Here is a 23,244-nt window from a genome sequence, read left to right as displayed (position 1 = left end):
CTAAACTAAGAAAGAAATGGTTACCAGGTGTCTCAGATAGTTCTTCCCTATAAAACAAAAAATGAAGCAAAACTTTTTAACAAAGGGGATTGTGGCATGAATAGGAATTTTGTAAAATGACCAAGTTAGACAGCTACATACTAGACAGACAGAAACATAATTCTAGGGGGAAAACTTGCTGTGTTGTCTTAATTATAAGATCCAGTTTGTTTTTCTCACATTTTCATATTCATATTTCTGAAATCTGGTTTAAATTGACATTTGTACTTTTAATTTTCCCCCAAATCCTCTTATTTAAAAAATATCTTACAATTGATGACATCTTAAAACTTGTTAATGGAATATACACTAAAATACCTCATTTGTAGAGATATTCATGACTTTTGCCTTTCTTTACTTATTAAACTTATTTTTTATCCAGTAATTCACTAACTAAGGCTTTAGAAATGGAAGTAAAGCATCATTTGGGGGCTAATTAAGATCGAGTTGATTGGAGCTTAACCTACTTCATCCTGTCCTGAGATAAAGATGAGGAAAGTCTAGCCCTTCTCATAGTTTATTTTAGGATGATGAATGCTCTGCTAACAAAGACAGTATTTTTCATAGATATGATAAGGATTAAAAATAAGTTTGAATTTGTACCATGAGTAAATTTTAAGCAATGTATTAAAAATAATTTGCACACAATTGATAGATCAAGGTTCAGTTGGTGGCAAGTTACTCTGAAATAAGTTACTCTGAAATAAGAGTGTTACTCTGAAAGAAGAGTGAAGAGAGAAAAATGGGTAAAGATAGAGAAACATGTAGAGAGACCTCAACTTGCATGACCTTGGTATTCAAAGGCACACTGCAAAGAACAGGTGGCTGGTTGGGTCTAAGGAGATGAGCGCAGTGCAAAACAGGAAGGGGGACTGATGGGAGAAGAAGGAAAAGAGATGATTGAGCAAAAGCACCAGTACCTGGCTGAATTTTACAGATATCACTGAATGGCTGCCCAGAAGCTGGCACAGATAAACAGTGGGTTTGATGTAAGGGATGTGATTGGCAAGGTGGGCATTGTGAAAGGCCAGGGGACAAAGAGACTGAAGTCACTGTAAAGCAGATTGCTGGAAATATTGGCCCAGGGGTCCAGGCCGAAAAGGATGGGAAGATTGACTAGCTGCAGAATGTGGAAGGGCCAGTGGGCTAGCGATGTTGCCAGATGACTGACTTTCCTGGTGGTGCAGTGAATTGGAATGAATGTCAAACATTTAAAACAGTTTTTCTGCACTTACTATCCCAGACACCCATACTCGATATATGAGAATTATCCTTGGTGCCTTCTTCTCCCATATTCCCGGAAGTTAGTCAATCACCTAGCCTGGCTAATTTCATCTATGTATTTTTAACCTGTATTCCTTCCTGCTTATAGCTATTATTATTGGATTGGTGGTTGATTACTAAAGTTTGTTGTCAGACTTGGATTTGAATACTGCCTTTGTTCCTTGTTAGTTTTGAACCTTTGGCCAGGTAATTCAGCCCTCTGAGCCCCATTTTTCTCACCAACAATTCCAGTACCTGGCTTCATAGGCCTCTGGGGATTCAGTAAGATGATTCATGTAAAATGCTTAGCACAGTGTAGGACACAGAAGACATGTTAATGACTACTTGTTGAATTCATGAATAATAGATAGCTGTATTGTTACTATTTCTGCTTTAGTTAGCTCTCCATCATCTTTGCCCTAGATTACCGCAGTAACTACTCAACTAGTCTCCCTGTCTCCCAGCTTGTCTTCATCTTAAACCCGTTTTGTGCATTTCTGTCATACCACAGTGATCTGTAGTAGATACAAGCTTGACTGTGTCATTCCTTTGCTTAAAACCTTTCAGTGGTTTCCCAATGCCCTCAGGTTAATGTCTGGATTTATTAACCTGCCCAAAAAGGCTCTTTGAAATCTGCCCTTTCATCTTTCCCTACTGCTTTCCTAGTTTTACTTCCTAATTTATGTCATGGCAAGTCTGGGCTGACCCTTTCCAGAAGACACCATACTATTTCTCATTGTCACACCTTCATTCACATTATCCCTTCTGTCTTGAATGTTCTGCTCTCTTGTCGTTCATCTGGCTCCTTCCTGTTCAGCCTTTCACAGTCAGCTCAGGCACTTGTTCCTCTGGGAAGACTTTCTGTCATTCTCCTTTCCTAGGTTACTTAAGTGCTCCCAGGGCTCCTCTGCCCAGCAGATATAAGAATGTGACTTCTCTGTTTGTGTGTTGTTGTTTTTTTCCCCCATGAAATCGAAAGTCACTTAAAAATAAGGGCTACTTTAGTACCTGGTGTAATTCATGTCAAATAGTATGTATTCACTGAATATGTGTGTGTGTATGCATGTGTATACCTGTATGTGTGTGTACATATGTATACACACACATACCACCACAGAGTCAAACAGAACCCAACAGAATATGTTAACAACATGCTTCTTCTCAAAGAGTGATTGTTACTGGTAAATTTTATGTTCAAAGGAAGTTAAATCATTACTTCTTTTTCTTCCTTTGTTTATCTACCTTTTAATTTCTCTACTACCATCACCAGTAGATCTTTTGGGGGTGGTGCCTGATTTATAATGATTCCCCTCAACTTATCCAGAAGTTCGAGATCCCAACAGCCTCATTTTTACTCCAAAACTCTGCTCTCTTTTCTAGAATTTTTTAGACCAAATGTAGATGGTTGATCAAGTTAAACCAAAAAGAGTCTTCCTCTCTCCCCCTCTCTCTCTTTCTCTCTCTCATTCTTGCCTTTCCTCCCACACTCTCTCACTCTCACTCTCGCTTTTGGTTTCTCTCTCATTTTTTGAACCACTCCTAAAAGAGCCATTTTCTTGAAGAGACAAGGTGTAAAACTTTGGGGTGTCAACAGCCATGTTCTTTCGTGTGGTCAAGGAATGTGGGTCTGAAGAGAGGGGAGATTGAGTACGATATACAGAGACAAAGCTGTCCTGAGAAAGAGACAGAGAACCTGTCCTAAATGTCAGTTCTCCATTCACTCCTGCTGCCCTGTTGCAAGAGCAAAGACCAGTTGGACTGGGCTTCTGGACCGCCACCATCTCTTCTTCTGACTTTCACTCTAGTTTTACTGTTATAAGTGTTGTGGACATTAGAGCTAAGTATATATTTGTACTCTACACTGAATACCCAGCTGTCAGGGAAGAGACAACACGTTTAGAATCCAAAATGGCCTGGATGCACTGGAGGGATTACATGAAATGAAATTCAAATAAGATAGATACAAAAAATTACATGTAGGGAAGGAGAAATAAATTCTATAAAAACTAAATAGAAAAGTGCTGGTGAGAAAATTAGAGTAAAAGATCAAATAACCCGGGGATAAGAGAAGACCACGCAGTGAACTCAGCTTGGAAAAGACAGGACTACAAAGCAGGAAACTGATGCAGTGGAGGATGCACGCAGCTGCAGATGGGGCGGTGGGGGAGAAGTGTCCCCTGTCTGCCCACCACTGAGACTTCCTCCAGAGCTCTGGCATAGTTTCTGTGACTATACTTGGATTTAGATGCTGACAGTCATTATGAGGTAGGACTGTATTGGATAGACAGTTTGAGGCATCTGTGTGATATATGCAGAGGGGAGGGAAGTGCTAGACTCGCCCATTTCATAAAAGGGAAAGAATGCTTTGGGGAGACTTCTTAGCACACATAACAATATAGGTTTGTATAGAAAGAGAAATGGTGTTTTTGCTACCTTATAATTACAATCTCTTATATACTCCCATTGTGCTTTATGTTTTTATAAAAAAAACTTTAACATATATAGTATTAGTCAGTTAGAGCAAACAACTCCAATTCTGTGGCACTGTACGGTAAAAGCATAGTTCTTTTTCACTGTATGACAATGCAGGTTGGCAGGCAGAGGGGGAGAGGCTGGCGGGGAGGCCTCAAATCCAAACAGTCATTCAGGGACTCAGGCTCCTCCTTGTGGCTGCCCTCTCCTCGGTCCTCTACCCAAGTCCTCTCCATCCCTTCTGCCAGTGAATGGAGAAATAGAACTGGGACTCACATGTGGAAAGATTTATTTTCCATGTCTGCAAGTGAGGAATGCCATTTCTACATATCTCATTGGCTAGAACTCAGGAATATGGCCCTGTCTAGCTTCAAGAGAGGATGAAATTGTAGTCCAGTTGCCTTGTTTGCCTGAGAAGAAAGGGAATAATTTGGTGGGCAAGTAGACAGTATCTGCCATCTATATGGTGCAGTTTCACCCTAACAGTGACACTCTCAATATTAAAAGTGCATATATGATTTTGATAATACAGTATATTTGTATCTAAAAGGTATGTATATATAATATAGCCTATCATCTAACTCTCTCTCTCTCTCTCTCTCTCCATCACTTTCTTCCCCGTAGCATACACTCTTCAGTTGTGATAACTCTTCTTTGTACTGAGTCCAGATGTCATGACATTATAATCTTCTTAACTCAACATCTTAGGCAGCTTCTACCAATCAATAGGAATCAGAATTTCAGATAAGATCGATTTGTCTATCCAACCCTGGACTGTCTCTCAATATCAATGAATTTAAACATAGCAAGGCAAGAGGTAAGCCCTGCTCTTATTCATTGACCCAACAAATGCTTGGACCAGAAAACTCCGAGCACCACACCGTTCCTTTTCACCTTGGTAAACCATACCTAATATTCTGACTTTGACATGCCTCTGGCCACCATTCTTCTAAGTGATGGAGAGTCTCTACTAAGTAGAGTTACTTAAAGACCTTTATTAAAGCTGAGGCAGCTTAGAATCCACTGAAGAGACAGTACAGATTTCAGATGTTCAGATGTTTCTATGTGTCTTCAGTCTGGTTCGGGATCTGAGACCACAGCCTAATGAAATACAGAAGGTAGACTTGCTAGGATTCTAGACGGCATTCAGGCAGTGGGTTCTAAGATTTCTAGAATTATACTATGTACAATTCATGCTGTTTTTGTTGGTGCATTTTCAAAACCACTTTATTGAGGTATAACTGACATCCAAAAAGCTGCACAACTTTAATATATACAACTTGGTGAGCTTGGAGATGAGTATACACCCATGAAACCATTACTATGATCCATGCCACAAACACATTGGAAATGGTTTCCATGTATATGACAATAAAGCACAGGCAACAGAAGCAAAAATAGATAAGTCAAATTATATCAGACTAAAAAGCTTCTGTGCAGCAAAGAAAACAAGAAAACAAGAAGGCTATCTTTGGAATGGAAGAAAATATTAGCAAACCATATATCTGATAAAGGGTTAATATCCAAAATACATAAGGAACTCCTATTACTCAACAGCAAAACAAGCAAAAACCATAACAACCTGATTTAAAAATGAACAAAGGAACTGAATAGATATTTCTCCAAAGAAGACATACAAATGGAAAACTGGTATATGACAAGGTGCCCAGCATCATTAATCATCATGGAAATACAAATCAAAACCACACTGAGATATCACCTACCATGTGTTAGGATGGCTACTATGAAGAAAACAGAAGAAAACAAGTTTTGAGGAGGATGTGGAGAAAGGGCAACCCTTTTTTTTTTTTTTTTTTTTTTTTTAGGCGGAGTCTCACTCTGTCGCCCAGGATGGAGTGCAGTGGCGCGATCTCGGCTCACTGCAAGCTCCGCCTCCCGGGTTCACGCCATTCTCCTGCCTCAGCCTCCCAAGTAGCTGGGACTACAGGCGCCTGCCACCATGCCCGGCCAATTTTTCGTATTTTTAGTAGAGACGGGGCTTTCACCATGTTAGCCAGGATGGTCTTGATCTCCTGACCTCGTGATCCACCCGCCTCGGCCTCCCAAAGTGCTGGGATTACAGGCGTGAGCCACCGCGCCCGGCCGGGCAACCCTTTAACACTATTGATGGGAATATAAATTGGTTCAGCCATTATGGAAAACAGTATAGATACTCCTCAAAAAATTAAAAACAGAATTACCATATGATTCAGCAATCCCACCTCTGGGTAAATATTCAAAGGAATTGAAAACCAGCTCTTAAAGAGATATTTGTGCTCCCATGTTCACTGCAGCATTATTTACAATAGTTTAAGACATGGAGGCAACTTAAATGTCCACGACAGATGAATGGATATATAGATATAGATATAGATATATCTACACACAGTATCACATTTTCTTATATATATGTACAGTGTCACATTTTCTTATATATATATATATAGTATCACATTTTCTTATATATACTGTATCACATTTTCTTATATATACTGTATCACATTTTCTAATATATATTTTCTTATATATACTGTGATACATATATAATATATACTTATCATAATATATATCACAGCATAAATAATATATAGTATACTATATAATAATATAATATATTTTTACATACTATATAATTATATAGTATATGATTATACTATGCATAATATATAGTATAACTATATATACACACCATCTATATACTGGTATATATACTGGTATAATTATACATATATACTGGTATAATTATATATATACACACACTGTATATCTATTGGCATAAATATATATTGTATAATATAAATATATATAATATATAATATAAATAAGTAAATAAATAAATAAATAAATATATATATATATATATATATATATAACCCAGCCTTGAAAAAGAAGGAACTCCTGCCATTTGCAACAGCATGGATAAACCTGGAGAATATCATGCTAACTGAAATAAGCCAGATATAAAGGACAACTGCTACATGATACCACCTATATGGTAAATCTAAAATAGTCAAACTCCTAGAAGCAGAGAGTAGGAATGGGAAACTGCAGGGGCTGGGGAGTAGGGGAAACAGGGAAGTATTTGTCAAAGGGTAGGAAGTGTCAATGATGAAACTTGATGTATTTTTAATAATGTCTCTTTGCTTTATAAGCCTAAATTATCACTAAGTTTGGAGCAGAGGGAGCACTTGGAGAACTGCCCTGAACAGGATGTAACTCTAATTGAGTGTTATGATAATCCTTATTTCCCCTCCCCACCACAGCCAATAAATAACAAAGCTTTACTGTACACCCTCTTTTACCTCTATATTCAGAAATAGATAGCAAAGGTAGACAATTGGTAAGGAGGAGTCCAATAATACAGCCACAGGTTAATCATAAAGAACGTCTTCTAAAGTTCCATCCAGATCAACCAAGCTGGGCAGGGTGTGTGGGTGGTGCAGGCACACTCAGGTTTCTATCAATTACTCTACCTTTCCAAGAATATAAGAAGTCAAGATCTTGATAATTATTTTGTTTCCTTAAATATTTGCTCATCCATTAGCTGGTTATATGTTGATAATAACTGATCACCTCGTTTGAGCTCAGCACAGTCCCAGTCATATGCAGCAGGAACATGACAACCATATTTGCTAAAAGGGTTACTATAGGGACAAAGTTTTCCCTTTAGATATTTACCATAAAAAGTTCCAGTCTTCTATCACTTTTCATAATCCAGTGCACAAAAAGCCCAGGGGTAGGCAGAGCACAGCAAGGGGTTTGTCTTTCTCTCCTCAGTTATTCCTGCAAACTCAAAGCAACACAGTTTCTTGATGGTGACTTTTACCAACTTCAAAGTATTCAATCTCCACTGTCAATAATGCATGCCAAGGACTGACAAGAAATAAAGAATCAATACACTCCAGCTCCATCTACCTCTATTACACACACTCCAGCAGACCTAACACATGCTCTTTTCCTATACCCAAGGTGCCACTCTTTGGCATCCTAGAGAAAAGCCTCGAAGACATCATATTTCTTTCAACATCAAGAACCATAGCCTAAAGATAATGCACAAAAATTTAAAGTACTCAAGTAAAAAGGGCTGATTCTTTCAACTCCATCAACACAGCCAAAAAACGCAAAACCAGTTAACCCACATAAGGTTACTGCAACTCAAAGTCACTCTGTGCAGTTCTTATTCAAAGCCTTCTTTTTCCTTGATTTTTTCTGGCCTGTACTGCCCTCTTCCTTCATTGCTATTTCTGTACTCAATCCCATGCCACCTAATATTGGTATTTAAGTCTTCTGTTTGAATACATTTTATCTTCTTAATTATGATGATGCAGGAGGGTGAAACATTATTTTATCAGAGGCATTTACTTTTCCTCACAAGGAATGACTTCACCTAACACACTGATTTTGGTCTTACGCGTTTGTATTAAATGAATGAGTAGGAATGGCTCCTGTTGGATAAGATGTGCCATGGTTGTAGCTCTCAGAAAAACAAAATTCTTAAAGTTGAAATTAAAGTATAGGCTAAGATTACACCCAGAGGAATTATCTGTATTGACAAATAAAAGTCCTCTGTTCAGACAGGGACCCAGAGTGTGAAAAGACTGATTGGGTGGCCTCATGAAGGTAAGTGGAGAAGATGCATCCTCCCTCCAGCTACCTCTCAATATCCCATACCAAGGTGGAACTCAAATGAGTGATTAAAAGCTTTAAGCAAGGTAATCCAACATAGGCTTGTACCACGGCCAATTTCCACCACACAGTTCTCTGAGGAAACCAAGTTCAGAACTACCTAGAAATAATTTTGCACCCTCAAAGAATTTCTTCTCTTATTAAGACAAAAGCTTGATTCCTTCCTTGTTCCTCTCTATTCCTTCCACCTCTTCTTCAGGTTAAGAAAGGGGGCTGGAAAGAGGGGTTAAATAACCACAAAAACCAAACACAAACTTTTGAAGCACAACAAAACACCTAAGCACAATAATTTGAGGAACAAATCCTTGCCTCTTTTTACTTTCTTCTATCAGCCTAGCAGAAAACTAATTGCTACATCACACGAAAAGACCTAAGTTGCTGACGTAGTTTTTCTGAAATCAGTACATCAATGAGACTATACATTTTTGAAGACTAGTACTAATTTAGTATACTACTTCTTGGGTTCTACCGTACATTTCCAGAAAAAAATAAAAACTGTCTTTTTCTAAATGATATAAAGTAATCCTACGGAGAGTCTTCTTTGTTTAACAAGTAAGACTCACACCCAATTCATTTGCTGCTTAAATCAGGAGTTAATGTAGCCTTTTTTTTTTTTTTTTTGAGATGGTTTCACTCTTGTCACCCAGGTTGGAGTACATTGGTGCGATCTTGGCTCACTGCAACCTCCGCCTCCTGGGTTCAAGCAGTTCTCCCACATCAGCCTTCCGAGTAGCTGGGATTACGGTGGTGTGCCACCATGCTCGGCTAATTTTTGTAGTTTTAGTAGAGACAGGGTTTCACCATGTTGGCCAGGCTGGTCTTGAACTCCTGACCTCAGGTGATCCACCCACCTCCACCTCCCAAAGTTCTCGGATTACAGGTGTGAGCCACTATGTCTGGCTTAATGTAGTCTTTTTAAGGCTGTATACCACTTACTATAGGTGTCATTTAGCATATATGGCTATGGATTGGAAATTTCTGGACTAGTTGTAGCCGAGGCAATTGTGGCATATGGAATAATACCATGAGAAGAAAGACTAAAAGGTCTATATGAATGTAGGTATGAGTGCCTCTGCCTGTGCATATGTGAAAGAGAGAAATCAAGAACAAGACAGAAATAGAGCAAGAGGGAGACAGAGGGAGAGAGGTTGTGTGTGTAAGCAAGGACTTTTGAAGAAAATAAAAAAGTGGCTGGGCGTGGTGGCTTACGCCTGTAATCCCAGCACTTTGGGAGGTTGAGGCGGGCGAATCATGGGGTCAGGAGTTTGAGACCAGCCTGGCCAACATGGTGAAACACCGTCTCTACTAAAAATACAAAAATTACCTGGGCATGGTGGCGCATGCCTGTAATCCCAGCTACTTGGGAGGCTGAGGCAGGAGAATCGCTTGAGCCCAGGAGGCGGAGGTTGCAGTGAGTCGAGATTGTACCATTGCACTCCAGCCTGAGAGTCTTGTAACAGAGGGAGGCTGCATCTCAAACAAAACAAACAATAAAAACAAACAAAACAAACAAAAAAACAAAAAAACACAGCAGTTCTTGGGAAAACTTTTACTATGTAAAGAAATATATATATATATGTATATATATATATATATATACACACACACACATACATACATACATATATAAATTAGCCCTTTCTTTATTAAAACAAAGTGAAATTCTATGAGTAATCTGGCCCCATAGAGACACACAAGACCCAAATCATAGCATCAGTGTATAAGCAAGTGTGTTGGCAAGACAGAGATGAATTCAGCTAATAAAGAGAGCACCTAGACACACGTGAAAGGCAGAACTTTCCCATGGAAAGACATGATAGTAAAACCCAAGCAGCTCTATCCTTCATTACCTTGTGTATGGGATTTGGTCACCCATGCATGGAAGTTCAGATGTTATTTCATTTGTGTAACTGAATGAATGGGTGGGCAGAGTTAATAGGATTTGCTCATTAAATGCTTAAATCAGCATGTCATCAGTTATTATATTTGATGTAAACCTTTCTTTGGCGTTTCAGAGTGTTTCCTCTTCTGTATAAAAAGATGTCAATAATCCTTTTCCAGATCTTTTCAAAGGCAGGGAACACATTTTATAGTTCTCAATAGCTTTTGCAATCTTCAAAATGGTTGAAAATTCCTTGAATTGAATAAGCCTGATGGGTTGATTAAAGCAGGATATACCTCTACTTGCCAAAACAAATATTCTCTAGAAGGAACTGATAGAAAATAACATTTAAAGAGACATATTTACTTTTAGTATAGTTCCAGTTTATCACAACATGAACATAAATATCAATAAGGAAAGGTCACCTGAAAAGTTAGAAACTATCATTAAAATAACAAAATACTTATACAGCAATGCAGGCAGATCCTTTCCCAATGCAGACCAGAGAATAATACAATACAGTAATAACAACTACAATTTAGAGTTCCACTAACTAGGAATCAGGCACTTTGCCAAACATTGTATGTATGTATCTATTTAATGAACCCTTAGAACAATCTATGAGGTGAGGGCTTATTATCCTTCCTATTTTTCAAGTAAGACACAGAACCAGAGCTTCAGTGACCTGCCCAAATTATCACATGCAGTTAGTGAGAAGCAAAGTCAATGGTCTCAAATATTACATGTCACGAACCTATGTTGTTTTCTTCTTCTCACTGGAACGTGAGAAGGTATACAGAGTAAGAATGAGTAATTGCTACTCTATGCTAATTTCATGCAAAGTAATTTTAAACTGATGTAAAAAAAAAAAACAAACACCCAAAACCCAACATGACGATAATGCCAACATCACATGGTTCTACCTTTCAAACCAGTTCATAGATTCATAACTTCATGTTCATACATATTTAGCCAAGTCCAAAAGGTGCCTCATTTAACTGTGAATTTGCAACTTATGCAAAAAACCCACATCCTGCAAGAGTTGGGGGAGATGTAATGACTGGGAAAAAATGTAATAGCTAGAATACAAAAATTACATTTTCCATAGACCTCACACATTTCTTGTGTACATTTTTCTAGCAGCTGTTTAGAAAGCACTAGTGGTCACACAGATGAAATGTGGCAGTTGTAGCATATTAACATAAATATTTTTACCTGAATAATTCCTGCTGTTCTTTTGAAACGAAAATTAATTCACATATTGTTTTCCCTGGAGTTCCCCAAAAACTTGCTAGCTTTTTTTTTTTTTTTTTTTTTTTTAAGAAATATAACAACTGTGTGTACTGGGGCTGAACTAAGTATTATTTCTGAACGCAATTTTATTTTTTCAGTGCACGTTATACTAAAAGGAAGGATAATGGTACTGAACATAGAATCGATACACATTTAAATGGAATCAGTTTATCAAAACATACCACTTCAAGATGGACCGAATTGTGATATCCACAATCAACTGATAATGGTACCAAATCATTAACTGCTGGCTTTGAGATTCTTACAGAGAATAATTTCATATAACCCAGAAAAGCATGGCCATGCTGATTAAATTAGCCTGATTCTCTACCCTGAGAGAGGATGTTTACAGGGGCATAGGTGTACCAAGAGCAGTGAGAAGCAAGGACTCTGTGAGTAAAGTGTTCTGGGTTCCAATCCCAGCTCAGTCCCTTCCTGGCTATGTGAAGTCTGAACTAACCATTAAACGTTTAACAATCTCATAGGTCAGGCCACTGCACCACCTAAAGCTACCATGCATGTTAGTCTAAATGAATGGTGCCCCTTGGAGTTCTGCAGTGTACAACCTGAACATGCAGGCCCCTGCCCAAGGGTTGTGGGGATTCGAGTGATAATGTTTGTAAAACACTTGGCCCAACCCCTAGTACTTAGCAGGTCCCCAGAGAATGCTAGCTCTTAATTACTTTCATCTTAATGTATATCATGTATGACCTCTATCTTCACATTTAAATTCTTAAAGGACTTTAAAGGAAGTACTTTATTTCATGTTCCATCTGATCTCTCTATCAAGGGAGCAGTGGGATTTTGTAAATTTTTTGAGTCAGGTACTCTTTAAGCCTGTTCTATCTTTTCAGAGACACTAAGTGTCTTTGCAAATTTTTTTCTGTTTCTATGATATGGCATGTCTGTGAAGAGGTCTGAAGAACTCAAGATGTCCTCAAAAGTGCTATGTAAAAATTTTCCCTGAACCCCAATATATTATTGCATTTACAGAAGTGAATTCAGAGCCAGACTGATTGGGTCAAAGTCCAGCTCTCTCCATTTCTAGCTATGTGATTTTTCCAAGTCAGTTCATCTTTAAAGCCTCAGGTTTCTCATTTGCATATTAGGGAAACTAATACTTTCTACTACATAGGATTGTTGGGGCTTGTGGGGAACCTACTGCATAGTAAACTGTTCAGCAAAAGCCTGGCTCATGGTTGATACTAAATATATCATTGCTGCATTGTTACTAAGTGCCAGTCTGTGTCTCTCAACCACTGGAGGAGGGATGTTCGATTCAGAAGCCACTTAAGCTGCAAGTCAGGCCATAGGAATGTTGCCCCATAAACTCAGCAGGGTTCAGAATTCTTACAAAGATAATCAGCAGGGCAGGGCATTGTTCTAGTTCTATCTGGCTACAGCAGAGACATGCTCAGCATACTTATTCTGAGAACCTTAGCTGCTTCAGCTGAAAGTAAGGTGATTCATCTGTAAAGTAAGACTTGGGGATGTGGAAAGAGGTCTTTTCAAGTACACAATTCTCTGACTTAAAAATAAGGTAAAATAAGCCGAGATTTCGTTTGGGTGTTCCTTTTACATCTTTACTTACCCCTTTAGTTTTAGACACTAAACCTCTGGCCTTCCCTGCTTGATATTCATAGCACACTTTGCTGATGGATCAAATTATTCATTTTATTGGGCTTGGATGAGACTTCACATACTACTTAACGCAGCATTCTAGTGTGTTGAGCCACTATTAATCCTTCCAAATTTTAATTTTAAGGACAGGACATACTCTTTATCTCTGTTTTGTGAAGCATCTTACACATTTAGGACTATCTTCTGTGACAGTCATATATATTTCTTTTTACTAATCAAAGCCAAAAGATATGGCTGTCTTATGTTCCATTTTCTCTAGACTTTTATAACTAGCTAACTGTAGAATTAATTCTCAGTTCTAAGGGGTTTACACTTTAAAAGGAACTTCATTATTTCTTTTAAAAGTACTTATGGGGCCGGGCAGGGTGGCTCACGCCTGTAATCCCAGCAATCAGGGAGGCCGAGGCAGGCAGATCACAAGGTCAGGAGATCAAGACCATCCTGGCTAACACGGTGAAATCCCGCCTCTACTAAAAATACAAAAATTAGCTGGGCGTGGTGGCGGGCACCTGTAGTCCCAGCTACTCAGGAGGCTGAGGCAGGAGAAAGGCGTGAATCCGGGAGGAGGAGCTGGCAGTGAGCAGAGATCGCACCACTGCACTCTAGCCGGGGCAAAAGAGCGAGATTATGTCTCAAAAAAAAAAAAAAAAAAAAAACAAAAAACAAAACAAAACACACACACACACAGAAAAACTATTTATGGAAGCCATTCTCTGTTCTTCCCACTATGCATTTTCAAGCAATGGAAGGGAAAACCAAATAAACAGGCAACTGCAGTACAGTATATCTGTGCAGTGGCCACCCAGGAGACCAGGACCTGGGTAGGTGGGTCGGGGAGACATCCAGTTAATCTTGGGGATTAAGGGGCTGTTTTTAGGAGACCATTATGGATGACAGTGTTCTAGCACAGGGAACAGTGTGGAGCCTGATGGAGAGACAGACAGCATGGTCTGGTCAGGGAATGTCAAGTCACTCAGAACAGTAAAACATGGTCTATGACAGGCTGGGCTTGTGTGGAGACACATTTGAAAATAAACGTGAGAAAAATGAGAAGGTGATCTGAAGCCATCATCTTACAGAAAGAGATGCAGTACTTTGACCGGAAAGGTAGTTACGAAGGTAAAAACAACCAGGGAGTTACTGGTAAAGGAGAAACTAAGGAAAAGAGCTCAAGTTACTGCACATAGAGGCTGCCTGTTAAGGGTAATCAGATCTGAACACAAGATCAGTGCATACAATGAGTAAAGGAAAAGATAAATTTCTCTCTGTGGCATTTGGAGATAGATTTATTTTCTTGGAAAATAAAGGCAAATACCGAGCACTTGTTTGAACCCTAATAAAACAGAAATTTAATCACTTAGAGGGATACCTTGTCAGGCGATTATATTTCAAGTTCCCGATGACTTATTTTTCTTTGTTAAATAACCTAAGCATAACAGCTAGGGATGGTGATAGAATAGTAGGTCCACAAGATTATGAAATATAAATTTGACTTAAAATTGATAACTCTTGGCTGGGTGCAGTGGCTCACACCTGTAATCCAAGCACTTTGGGAAGTTGAGGCGGGCAGATCACCTGAGGTCAGGAGTTCGAGACCAGCCTGCCCAACATGGTGAAACCCTGTCTCTACTAAAAATACAAAAATTAGCTGGACATGGTGGCGGGTGCCTGTAATCCCAGCTAGTAGGGAGGCTGAGGCAGGAGAATCGCTTGAACCTGGGGGCAGAGGTTGCAGTGAGCCGAGATGGTGCCACTGCACTCCAGGCAACAAGAGCTAAACTATATCTCAAAAAAAAATTGATAACTCTTTCATTCAAAATATATGGATTAATCCACTGCAATGTGCCAGGCACTGTGATAAATGCTGAAAATAAAGCAGTGAACAAATTAGCATGGCTTCAGGGAGCTTATAATCTAGTCAACAGATATTAAACTAATGAACACAGGATGCATACGTGATTACAATTCGAAATAAGTCCTTATAAGGAAAAGTGAAATATAGAATGAAAGGTTCAAATCGGAGGAACTATTTCTAAAAGTGGGAGCCAAGGAGGGCCTTCTATGGAAGGGAAGTGCCTGCTGAGCTTCAAACAAGGAGCGGGTGTCATGGGGGACAGTGTTCCAGATGGAGCAGCCTTTCTCAGGCAGACAGGGGTTTTACCCTTGAGAGGTCATTCAGCACCATCCAGAGGCATTTTTGGTTGTCACAACAGGGATGACTGTGGTGCTATTGGCATCTAAAGACAGGCAAGAACCAGGCAAGTGTGAGAAACTGGAGGAGGGTAAGGGCTGGAAGGAAGAGGAAGCATGCGCAGAGGCCATGGAATGGCAGGGCTAAACTGTGCAGGGCCTGGTTGACGGCCTCAGATAGAGAGTGTAGACGCTTGTTTTCCCAAGTTAGGTGATGAGCTTCTTGAGGTTTTTAAGCAAGACTGTTAACTGGTTGATTCACTTTTTAAGGTCTTACTGGCTGCTGGGTGAGAATGGAAGAGGAGGAGGTGGGAAGTAAGGAATGGTTCCAGGGAGGTGCAAGAGGAGCAGCTGGGAGATCCTCAGGAGGCTGTAGCACGAGTCTCTCCGACAAAGTGTGGTTTTGAGTGCAAGCAGGGCCTTCGCGCTAACGGAGACATTTGAGATCAAAGAGCAACTGGTCATTCCCGTGTAGAAAATACAGCACACTCTCTTTTCAAAGAATGCCTCATAATCCTTTCACCATCTGTTTTTCCTATTTCTGTTGATTTGTTTAAACATATATTGAGTATTTTCATACAAAGAAAAGGGAGGCTCACCATTTTAGAGAACGATAAATAAGTGAGCTCCTGATCCTTCAGTAAAAACATGTGAAGTGTTGAGATAAAAAGTGTGGCAGAGAACTACATGAAATCCACAGACTGTGAAGGGAGACAATGGAACTACTATTGTTCTATGCATTTCAGGACTCATCACAAGTTTTAACCTTACTTTACCTTGGTTTTTATACCTTGGCTGGCTTTGATGAAAGTATCAGAGGAAATGTGTATGTTTCATCAGGGGCTCTTTTTAAATTTTTATAATATCATAAGTTGTAGTGAAAAAATAATAAGCTACTTTTTTCAGAACTACAGATATTCCTCCCAAGGAAAAAACACTCACAGGTAATCAAACCTGGACAGCAGATTCCCAAATACCAACCCTTCAAATATCATAAATATCACCTCATGATTTTCATCATAGCCATGTATCACCTGGCCTCTTCTTTACTTAATATTTTTGTTTGTAAATCAATTGTTGTTGTTGTTTTTTTTTTGTTTTTTTGTTTTTTTTTGACGGAGTCTTGCTCTGTCGCCCAGGCTGGAGTGCAGTGGTGCAATCTCGGCTCACTGCAAGCTCCACCTCCCAGGTTCACATCATTCTCCTGCCTCAGCCTCCCCAGTAGCTGGGACTACAGGTGTCCGCCACAACACCTGGCTAATTTTTTGTATTTTTAGCAGAGACGGGGTTTCATCATGTTAGCCAGGATGGTCTCGATCTCCTGACCTCGTGATCCGCCCACCTCGGCCTCCCAAAGTGCTGGGATTACAGGCGTGAGCCACCGCACCCAGCCAATTCTGTTTTGTTTTTTTTTTTTTTAAATCACCATTCTAAGTAGAAATTCACTTAGTAGCCACAGATAGAGGGTAAAATAAAATGTTTAAAATAAAATGTAAAAAGTTCAACACAATATGCTTTATTTCCAGCTAACTATTTTTGTCTGATTCAGAGACAAACCTGAACCCTTTCCCTCTGTTAAAATGTAAAATTCATATGTTTTAGAGAGGCATTAAAGTCTAGCATCCCACTGAGACTCCTCCAATGGCAGGAGTCTGCAAACTGGCCCAAGGATTGTTTTTATACAAACTAGAGTTAAGAAGGAGTTTTATATTTTTTTAATGGCTAAAAATATCAAAAGAAGAATAACATTTCACATGTAAAATTATATGAAATTCCAATTTCAGTGTGCATAAAAGTTTTTTTGGTGCCACACCCATTCCTTACGTTTTACCTACAGCTGCTTTAGTGCTAAAATGGCTGAACTGAGTAGTAGCAACAGAGACCTCATGGCCTGCAAAGCCTAAGATACTTACTATCTGGTCCTTTACAGATAAAGTTTGCCTACCCCTCATTATGTGACCCAACTTATTTAATGCCACTGCAGGTGCTGTGCCTATGGTATGTGTAGCTCCCATACTCTGGAAAATTCTGCTCTGTGAATAAGCATGGCTAAAAACTGGGGATCCGATTCCCACAAAGGAGGAATAAAGCTTCAGAGACATATTTACCCCATTGGGAAATGACATCAGAAGCAAGAGTAGATGAATGTTGTCTGAGAATATACAGGATACATCCACATGTCTCTTATGTGCAGCTCAACTGGAATGTCAACAGAAGTAGTTTGGTGGCTGTTTGCTCCTGCTGTACCAACTCAAGTGTAAAATAATGGGCTATTTATCTACTTGTGATGACAATTTTTTTTTCTGCATGTAAACATTAAAATCCCTTCTGATGAACAATGTGATTACACGGTCCAGTTTCAGTGAGCTTCTATAGTTAGTTTCACTTAACGCACTTACCACAACTAATGAGAACTATTCATGCACACCAAGAGATTAAGAGCTGGGGCCCGATTCTCAAAAGGATGGGAAAGGAAAGAAATGATTAGCAGGCTCAGAATGCACCAACCAGACTTTTTCCACTAAGCTCATTTAAAAGACAACATACTAAGGAAGCAAAGAAATGACAGAGTGGATAGGCTCAGCATGAAGGAACCTCCCATGAAAACATGACTGTTTTAATTACTATGTAAAAGCAGGAATATAATTTGCAACTAATTCGTCAAACACAGGCACAGAAAATACAGCTGAGTCACCTCTAGTCCTGGGGAAAGGGATGCTCTGCTATTTTAAGGGATGCTCTGCTATTTTAAATATTGGTTCAGAACCTGGGCTGTGGATGAGAATCACCTGGGAAGCTCTTAACAGCCTGAGTTCCAGGCCACACCCTGACCAATTCAATCAGGATCCCAGTTTTGTAGAGATCCCCAGGTGCTTCCAACATAAGGCCATAATTGAGAACCAGCCCTCTCTTACTGTCTTACCTTGTAAGTTGATAGCCACAAGATGTTAAATGGGCTCACTTGGGATGAGAAATTGAGCTGGATAAGTGCAGAGGAGGTAGAGTGAATAGAGGAACTCAAGCAAGATGTCGATTTAGGAGGCTGATGATTTTTGTACATTTCTGATAATACTAAAATCTCAACTTGAGATTTCTGGTGCCTTTCTAAAAATCTTAGATAAGTGGAATTGTGAAAAGTGCATTCAATCAATTAGTCTGTTGTGCATCCAAAATATATTTTAAATAGTTAAAAGGAATGATTGTGCTGGGCTCTTGAGTTCCATCCTTAAGCTAAATCTTTGGGGAACACTTATACCCAGTAAGGAATATTCCAAGTAATTAGCCTTCATATACAGTGATGGTGGCACTACAACATCTTGAACATGCTAGGCAAGGCAGTGGACTCTGAACTGTAAGTGAAACACAGCATTAAGATCTATGTACATATTGGTTTTGCTTCTGGGTATGAAATTCCCTAAGCTATATTTTTTCCACTATCAACTCCAGGCCCTTCACTCTTGCCCATACTTAATAACCTCTGCCTTAATCAAGTGGTTTTTTTTTTTTTTTTTGCCTAGAAATTTCTTAAAATTTAGGTAACAGTGAGGGAGAGGAGCACCGATGTTTGGCATTATGACAGTTACCCAGTCTTCCAGTAACAACTCCTAAGTTTATCCAATGAGACTATTCCTCAGGAAATAAATTTTGAATAGCCCGAATCAAGCTAAAATTGAATCAAGTTCAACATTCTTCTGGAAACCCAATGCATCTTACAGGAAAATTATGTAACTCTATAAAAAGGTATTCATTAAATCCTAACTATTCATATAGCAAGTGTCAAATGAAATTTGGAGAAGGAATTTTTTTAACATATTAAAGTTCCATTATCCTCAATTTTCCATGACCAACCAAACACTTTTGCCTAGCCCCTCTATTGACCAATAGGGGCAGATTTCTTAGTCTTTGGAGATTTGGTACGGCAATTGCGGCAGTGGAATGGTATAAGTCAGTCTTCCCAGAGGTTATGATATTTGCATTTATTGAGCATCGTATATACAGAATGCCAGCCACACTCTACTAATAGCTCAGCACAAACCAATGAATTAGAGAACAGCATTCCTAATTACAGATGAAACATACGAGGCTCTCGCAAAGGCTATGTAAAATGCCCTTTAATCAGTGGCCATTCTGTGATTCAGACCCAGGGCTGTTTGTCTCTAAAGCTCGGGCTCTCAGTTGTTACTCCCTACTGCCAACTCAAGCCATCAAGCCGACCAGGCAGCCCTTTGAGGGACCAGTGGAGGAGCTCAAAATGGCCTCATTCCCAGCATGAGTGCATATGCAACACTATCGTCCATCTGCCACAATTCTACTGTGCATTGATGCCATTCTAGAAGAAAGCCCAAAGGCCATTTGGGCAACCTCTCAACAGTTCACCACTTAATTGTTAATCTAATCGATCTATCTTTTTCTTGGGAAGGAGGCACCTGCTTGAACAGCTGGGTCTCCCTACCTTATTGGATACAGGGTATGAATAAATACAATTGCTTCTGCCAGAAGCACATACACAAACTGGAAGTGGCTTGGAGGTATATATTTTTAAAGTCATGCATATATATTTAATTTATAGTCTGTAACATAAGAAATGTGGTTTAGGTGATGCTGATAATAAAGTTCTGTTTTCAGTAACATTTCCTGTGGGAGTAATTCCCACCTATCAGTCCAGGCACTGGCTGTGTCCAAAATGCCTGAGATGTTAATTAAAAATACAGATTCCTCAGGTTCACCCCAAACAAATGGAATCAGACTGTCCAGGGGTGATGATCTGGAAACTGTGTTTCCAATAAAGCCTCAGGTGACAGTAGTGCACAGCCAGAATTAGGAACTAATTTACTAAGTTAGAGTGAATGGGGGCAATTGCCTTCGGCCAATTCATTTGACCTTTTTAATAATTATTGACCTAATACTATTTGCCAGCACTGTTCTAGACCCTGAGAACAACTTGTGAACAGGGCAGATAAGGTCTGTCCTATGAACTTTACATTATAGTGAGGGGAGACCAGCACTAAGCAAGTAGACATAGGCAGAAATGAGATCATTTCAGGTAGTGGTATTCCGGGGTGGCAAAGAGGGCAGGAAGAAAGAGAAGGCTATCAAGCAATTATTCAGGAAGGCAGAGGGTTTGGTAGCAAGGCAGAGGGTCAAGAAGGAGGTACTCCTCTCCCGCAAATGGTGCTAAAAAATAGGTGAGACTTTAACCACACGGGCAACTTCAGATCTCAGGTCCAAACTACTTAAGATAGTTTTTTGTGTATCACTTACCCTCTGCAAAAGCCAACTGGTTTGGGACCAGGGCTATGCCCCCAACCTCTCTTCCTCTGACTTCTCTTTCCCCTGCCAGCGAGATCCCCCTTGTCCATCAATTTCCTGAAGACTCTCCTGGAGAACTCCCAGTTCTCCTAACCACCAGGAGCCACAGCGTCTCTTCCCTGAAGTCAGGGAGAGTTGGGATTTGAACCAAGTTCTGTTTGAGCGCAATGACCCTACTCTTTCTAAAATACCATCAAGGAATATGTAGTGAAGGACAATTTTCTGGTGGTGATTGCTGAGGGACAGAAGCGGGGAAGGCAGACTGGCACAATAAGATTGGAGAAATGGGATATAAGGGAAAACTCCATCTTCATTTGCACACTATTCAATTTAAACTGATCTTAACTGGGTAAACACCTGCTGGTGGAAGACACAGTGTGACTTGCCTCAGGCTTTACCCAGACTATCGAGCTCTGTCTACTTCCTTCCCTTGAAACTTCCCAGAAGAACAGGAAGAAATTGTTCTTATTTGTTCCAGGTCTTATTTTTTTCTACTCATGAGCCAAGATGCAGAGAGTATTTCTGCAGTCAGAGGAGAGATGGTCCTTACAAATTTTGCAATTGGAAGGATGAGGCAAAATGAGGCCAAAGGTAAATGAAGGTTGGGGTGGGGCAGGGAGGAAAATCACAAGTGTGTGAGACAGAATATATAAGTCATGTTTTTCCAGTGTCTGACACAGTATAAGACATTGGTTGCCCAGAAAATGATACTAAGTGTGACAAAGTGTCAAACAACTTTGGGTCTCCAGAACATTTTCATTAGAAATACTTTGTTTTCAATTTGTCTTCAAAGTTTCTGGTTATATTAAGGAGAAAGTCTCAGTTTGTTCCTAGCATTTCATTGCTTATATTCCTCTCTCTCTCTACACACACACACACACACACACACACACACACACACACACACACACATACTCGCATATACGGATATATATACAAATATATACATATATACGAATATATACGTACATACATATATACAAACATATATGTGTGTGTGATTGCGTGTGTGTAATTTTACTTGTTTATACTGGTATTTCCTTTTAAGCGGTGACAAAATGTTTTTATTTTAAAGACACTTAAGTTGCAAGGAGGAATTATTTTAAATAAAATATCAAGCAATATATTATAGGTGGCATTAAAGATGGGACAGAAATCAAGGTGATAGAAAATGGAAAATGGCTGAAGTTTGATAAATGTTATCTAACCCAATCTCCTTTCTTTACAGATGAAAAAACCAAGGCCTGGATAACTAATTCACAGCCACACAAGTATTTAGTCGCAAAAAATGGTAATAGCATGCAGCTCTCTCTGTTCAGTGCCCTTTTCAGGATGTGAAGAAAGATATCTGTATAAATATGAGAAGTCCTTCCCAAATAAGTAAAGTAACTGGCATAACTGAGGAGCTCTTTGGCAAATCTACTCTGTATACCAACTCAAGAAAAACAGGGAAAAAACCCCAATCTGTTCTTTCTCATTGTGTGCCAATAAAAAGTCACCAGATCTTTCTGAACCTCACTTTCCTCTTCTGTTAAACTTAAAAAAAAATACATAAAAGTAAATAAAAATATAACTTTACTTGTCTCAAAAGAGTTTAAGAATTAAGGATGATAACAATATAATGGCTTGACATGTAGGAAGTGATCATATACAGCATTAATTATTTTTCCTTCTGCCCCTCAAAATATGTTTTGGGGTTTGAATTACTAAAAAAAAAAAAAAAAAAAAAAAAAAGTGTGTTTTTTTCCTAAATTTCGCCTCTTCCATTCCCAGATGATTTTCTTTTCAAATAGGAGGTGAAGTTCCCGGGTCATGGGCCCAAAATTATGGCAAACCAAAAGAACCCTTCACACTGAAAGCAAAATTAACAGCAGCAGCAGAGTCTCTGAGAGTTTAAGAGGAGATGAAGAGCCTGGGCATGGTGGCTCACGCCTGTAATCCCAGCTACTCAGGAGGCTGAGGCAGGAGAATCGCTTGAACCCAAGAGGTGGAGATTGTAGGAGCCAAAATTGCTCCATTGCACTCCAGCCTGGGAGACAGAGCGAGACTCCATCTCAAAAAAAGAAAAAAAGAAAAAAAAGAACAGATGAAGAGGTAAGAACAGTGTTCAGGACTCTCCCCTTTCCCTTCACTGATAGAATTTAGCATAAACGGGACCTACTATTCCAGCTACGCTAGTCTTCTGCAGTGCAAGCCATGCCTGCTAGACCAATGGAGACATTAGGGGAGAAAAGGCCATTTTAAATATTGTATTTTCTTCTTTAAAAAGACATGCAGAGATAAATGAATTCGGTGATCATTTCATTTTTTTGTGTTGAGATTTTTGGTGACCATGAAAATGCACTCCTCGGATCTCTGGCTGTGGGAACAGAGTTGATGGAGGGCCATACTGGCTATCCCCTTCAGATCCACTACTGTGTGTGTACTGAGGTTCCTAGGTCTGTTCTCTGCCAATGACTGGACACAGT

General features: G+C 39.4%; 1 protein-coding gene across 13 annotated transcripts in view, besides 2 other annotated features; it reads right to left on the bottom strand.

Annotated features, from left to right (window-relative positions):
- Positions 1 to 23,244, bottom strand: part of TENM2 (teneurin transmembrane protein 2) — a 1,285,129-nt gene that overhangs the window by 551,546 nt on the left and 710,339 nt on the right. The gene's annotated exons all lie outside the window — the stretch shown is intronic.
- Positions 12,318 to 13,023: an enhancer, noted in NCBI's record as "OCT4-NANOG-H3K27ac hESC enhancer chr5:167126594-167127299 (GRCh37/hg19 assembly coordinates)". NCBI's record gives its function as "activates a minimal SCP1, AML or CMV promoter by ChIP-STARR-seq in primed H9 embryonic stem cells {active_cell/tissue: H9 hESC(primed)}" and the evidence as "EXISTENCE:reporter gene assay evidence [ECO:0000049][PMID:30033119]".
- Positions 13,729 to 14,435: an enhancer, noted in NCBI's record as "H3K27ac hESC enhancer chr5:167125182-167125888 (GRCh37/hg19 assembly coordinates)". NCBI's record gives its function as "activates a minimal SCP1, AML or CMV promoter by ChIP-STARR-seq in primed H9 embryonic stem cells {active_cell/tissue: H9 hESC(primed)}" and the evidence as "EXISTENCE:reporter gene assay evidence [ECO:0000049][PMID:30033119]".

Source organism: Homo sapiens, chromosome 5 (assembly GCF_000001405.40).
Source record: "Homo sapiens chromosome 5, GRCh38.p14 Primary Assembly".
In the NCBI taxonomy this organism is placed as follows: Eukaryota; Metazoa; Chordata; class Mammalia; order Primates; family Hominidae; genus Homo; species Homo sapiens.
The sequence above is the reverse complement of the archived record's forward strand: the minus strand, read 5'-3'. Positions and strand labels throughout refer to the sequence as shown.